Here is a 5,149-nt window from a genome sequence, read left to right on the forward strand (position 1 = left end):
AGAGCTGGGCTGGGTTTCTGAGTATTTCATAACAACCCAGTTGCCCCATCAAGATGCATTTTCATAAACAACAGTTCTTATGCAAATTCGTTTCAGAGAGGGTGTAGGTAACCTTTTGAGTCAGGATTGAGATAGAGTTTTTGCCCACTAGGGCCTTTGTCCTTTTCCTTTGTAGGAATATGCCTTAATTATCGAACTTAAGATTTTGTTGCCCTGGATTAAGTCCTTTTGGGTACGAAATATGAGAGATGGCTCCTGTTTATCCTATGTGCCTTTTTCCTACGAGAAGGAGAGCGAGGAGAAAAAGATGGGCTTGCTCTTTTTGTAAGTACTTTAAGGCTTGGCTGAGTGCAAACAGCTCGCAGTTTGTGCAGACCAATTATGAGGCAATTCTCCTAACTCTGCTTCCACAAGAGTTTCCTTATCAATTACTGAATACCCATTGTGGTTTTTTCCTCAATCGCCTGGGAGGAACCATCTATCGTCCTATCCTAAAGGAAGTTCCTCCTAGGTCTGGTTGGACCTTTGCATGGCAATTAAGATTTAAATCCCCTGTTAGGAAATCTGCTGGGTTAAGGGAATTATCAGTGGTTGGTGTTAAATCACCTTTTTCTAACAGAATAGCCCCATACTTTAAGAATTTTGAGCTAGTAAGCTACCTTTTTTTTTTTTTTTTTTTGGTCTTAGGATTGTTCTGAACTGGTGAGGTGTGCTCACAATGAGGTTTCCTCTAAAGGTTATTTTTCTACTTTATTCTGTTAGCAAAGCAGTTGCCACTACAGATTGAATGCATTTGGGCCATCCACGGGTTACTGGGTTCAGGATTTTTGATAGGAAGGCTATGGGTTGTCAGTGGTCTCAGTGTTTTCGGGCTACGCCCTTGTTTACACTGACAACAAGGTAGTATTGGAGTATTATAGGGTCGTGGAGAAGACCTTTAATTATCAATTATAGGTTCTAAATTTACCTTGGCTTTTAAAGGAATAGGGTACACTGTTTTTTCTTTACTACCTCTCTCTTTCCCTTTTTTCTTTCTTTCTCTCTTTGACTTTCTGCCTCTTCCTCTCTCTGTCTGTCTTTTTTTAGATGGATTTTGGAAACGCAGTGGAAGGACGTTCACTTGTTGCCCCAGTTTGCCACTATAGGAACATGTGCCTCCCTTTAATTTACTCAAATTCGTTTTCATCCTGATCTATTATGTTGTTGTAGACTCAGTTCCAGTTGTTAAAATACTGGGTTATCAGTTCTAAGGGCCTGGCCAAGGAGCCAAGGCTTGGAGATTGTATTGCAGGGGGTAGTAAACTGGGTAGAAATTAGGGGAGGAGAGCATCTTACACAATGGGAGAGCGATCTTCCTAGCTATTTACAAACTTGGGGCCCTGGCAAGGGTGGTGGGGAATGGGTCCCACATAACAGCCCATGTTGACAGCTATATACCTAAATTGGGAGGGACACCAGGGGCAAGACTCCCTGGGTTCATAGCCTAGATATCTAAGGCCACAGCATAGAGCTTCCTTAGATCTCTTTGGAGATACAACTTGCTCTAATACTTGGGAGAGGAAATGAAAGTCTGAAGCATTAGTACCTAGGAGGCAGGGATTGGAGGAAGTAGATTCAGAGGTAAGGAGAATTTTTGGGGCTACACTTTCAAGAAAGTCATGGTCGGGACCCAGGAGGTATGGGTCAGAAGGAAAGGTAGGGGTGCACACGTGGGCAACTGTTGAGTAGAGACTTCTGGCTGCACCATGATCTCAACCAGCCAATGCCGGGAGTTCAGGACGACAGCTTTCTGCCTCTAGTCGGCCCTCGGCTTCCCCCCAGGAAATTGTGAAAGCGGAAGCTGGTTCCAGGCAGACCAACGCTCCTAACCCCAAAGGGTTGGGGGTTGTTAGAAAGCCTTTTCCCAGAAAGCCTCACAGCTGAGTCTTAAGTCCAGTGGCCATGCTAATCATTTTTAACTGGCTGACAGGTGCCCGGTATTTCCTCTGATTCTAAGGAAGGATAGGACAGGATAGCAAGCTAAAGTGGTTCAATATTACTCACCACTTTGGAGAATACCTGTACGGGCCAACAGCTGTTACCAGGCAGGTCTTTGTTCTTAGAGCTCCTGAGATGGTGGCAGGCCGCTCCCAAGATGGCGGCAAGCCTTTTGTTCTCTGACCTGGGGTTCTTGGCCTCACGGATTCCAAGGAATGGAAACTTGGGACATGCAGTGAGTGTTATAGCTCTATTAGAAGCCGTCGGTCACGGAAGAGAACCCTGGAACCCAGCGACTAGTGTTTAGCTCGATTAGGATGAACCCAGGCACTTAGCCATGCAGGGACAATGGCGAGCCTCTAGCCTGATTGGGAGTGGCAATGGGCACCTCGCTGGATCAGAAGCATAGCAGCCACCCTGCCCAATCCGGAGGTGTGGAAGCCAATGGTGGGTCAGCGACGTTGGCTTTCAGCAGTGGTGGAGAGTGAGTGAAAGCTCAGCTCGAGCCGGAACAAACATGGAACAGAAGAGTGTGCAGTTGCAAGATTTAATAGAGTGAAAACAGAGCTCCCATACAAAGGAGGGGACCCAAAGGGGGTTGCCTGCAAAACTGTCTTAAAAAAAAAGTTTAAATAGTTACAAATAACTCAATTACTGGCCTAGTTTAAATATTACTATTTTAAAATAAAAATCATTATCTTAGACATAACCCATGGAATTTACATTCTATGGCAATTTGATTTTACATTGTATATTTGAAAGCCACATGGATGAACTCAGTTAGAAATTGTATGTCATTTCTTTTTCTCCTTGAATGAACGTTTCATTCTGCTTTCTCCATGTAACTTTTATTTCAATGTTATGCTTGATGGTGAGTTACTGATCATGCTTTTCTACTTTTCATCATCAGAAATATGCAAATAAATGGATTTTTCAAAGTTCCTGGGATCATAGGATATAAAGTTTTAATCTGTTTCTCTTGAACTGAGTTATTATCACAGTTAGTAGTACATGTCAATCAAAACATAGGTATACTATAAAATTTGATAGTTATTTGATGTAGAGGTAGATTTATTTCTTTTCTTTTTTTTTTTTTTTTTGAGATGGAGTCTCACTCTGTCCCCCAGGCTGGAGTGCAGTGGTGCAATCTCAGCTCACTGCAACCTCCACCTCCCGGATTCAAGTGATTCTCCTGCCTTAGCCTCCTGAGTAGCTGGATTACAGGCACACGCCACCATGCCCAGCTAATTTTTGTATTTTTAGTAGAGATGGGGTTTCACCATGTTGGCCAGGTTGGTCTCGAACTCCTGACTTCGTGATCCATGTGCCTCAGCCTCCCACAGTGCTGGGATTACAGGCATGAGCCACCGCGTCCAGCGTAAGTATACATTTCTTACTGTGATGGATTGATTTGGTTTGGATCTGTGTCCCCACCAAATATCATGTGACATTGTAATCCCCAATGTTGGAGGTGGGGCCTGGTGGGAGGTGACTAGATCACAGCGGTGGTTTCTCATAGTTTAACACCATCCCCCTTGGTGCTGTTCTCCTGGTAGCAAGTTCTTGCAATAACTGGTTGTTTAAAGGTGTATAGCACCTCCCCATTCGTTCTCTTCCTCCTGCTCCAGCCATGTGAGATGCCTCCTTCCTGCTTTGCCTTCTGCCATGATTGTAAGTTTACTGAGGCCTCCCCAAAAGTAGAAGTCTATACAGCCTGTGGAACCATGAGCCAATTAAACCTCTTCTCTTTATAAATTACCTGGTTTCACGTATTTCTTTCTTTCTTTTTTTTTCTTGAGACGGAGTCTCACCCTGTCGCCCAGGCTGGAGTGCAGTGGCGCAATCTCGGCTCACTGCAACTGCCACCTCCTGGGTTCAAGCGATTCTCTTGCCTCAGCCTCCCGAGTAGCTGGGATTACAGGCATGCACCACTACACCTGGCAAATTTTTGTATTTTTAGTAGAGACACTTGGCCACCATGTTGGCCAAGCTGGTCTTGAACTCCTGACCTCAAGTGATCCACCCACCTTGGCCTCCCAAAGTGCTGGGATTACAGGCGTGAGTCACTGTGCCCGGCCACACATATTTCTTTAAAGCAGTGCCAGAACAGAGTAATACATGGTTGACGCTTGCTGATGCTTTTCAGTTAGTTTAAATATCTACCCTTGAATATTACTTGTTGCTAGAATGACTCAGGACTCAACATCAGTTCTATATTTATTCTTTGTTTTCCACACACTGAAAAATCATGTTTACAATAAGTAAGTAGACGGGAATTGAAAGAGTTTTATATAGCAGTGTCACTTAAGTCTTGGAAGTTCTTCCAAATTTTATACCAGAAATAACATTGTGATAGGCGAGTGAGGTCAGCAAGATGGCTTACACTAGAGTTGCCTGGCTCTTGTTCCTCCCCTACTTCCCGCCCCCAAAAAGGAAGCAAAACAATAAATAACCAACTATATTTTGTCTAGAGTGGTTGAGGAAGCGCATGTGAGAGCACCAGGAGAAGAGCGAAACTCTTGCAGAGCATGGGAGCCCAGGATAGGGCCATAGGGTGGGGAGTGAGGCATCTGCCTCTGCACACTGTCTCCCCTGCCAGGATCAGATGGGAGCCAGGGAGGACTTCTTCCAGGGAAAAGGTAAGCTGAAGACCCTTGGCTGTCCCCATCACCACCACAGATGCCAGAAGTCATTGCTACAGGAGTGTCCCCCAACTGCCCCTGTCCTCACGGGGCAGAGTTCAATGTGAACAGTTGCCAGGAGTCTGCATGGCTACATTATCCCAAAGCAGGAACCCCCTTGACATCCCCAATCCCCGTGACCTTAACGGCTAGCATGGGGCCATCTTGAAACGGGACCCCTATCTGTAGTGCGGCATACCTGGGGGCCAGTAGCCGCAAAACCCTCCATCCCTGAGGTCCTGCCGTAATTCCACTAAATTTACATGGGTACCTGCAGCACCAAAACCCTGGATGCCCAGAGTGTAGGTCCAAAGGAATGACTGGGATCCTAAGCCCAAACCCACAAGGCACACTATCACCCAGGGACACTGGCTGACCTACACCGCAGGGAGGCCCCTGCAGCCACTGGGCCCCAAGCACCCACTCTAGGATTGACAGCTGGCCTGGAGTTGGCCCTGAACCACCAGAGAGCATCTGTCACAGGCACTCAC

General features: G+C 45.8%; 1 annotated feature.

The window, feature by feature from the left end:
• Positions 345-545: a silencer, noted in NCBI's record as "peak4639 fragment used in MPRA reporter construct". NCBI's record gives its function as "represses an SCP1 promoter by STARR-seq MPRAs in K562 erythroleukemia cells {active_cell/tissue: K562}" and the evidence as "EXISTENCE:reporter gene assay evidence [ECO:0000049][PMID:32103011]".

The sequence above is a fragment of the Homo sapiens genome, chromosome 3 (genome assembly GCF_000001405.40).
Source record: "Homo sapiens chromosome 3, GRCh38.p14 Primary Assembly".
In the NCBI taxonomy this organism is placed as follows: Eukaryota; Metazoa; Chordata; class Mammalia; order Primates; family Hominidae; genus Homo; species Homo sapiens.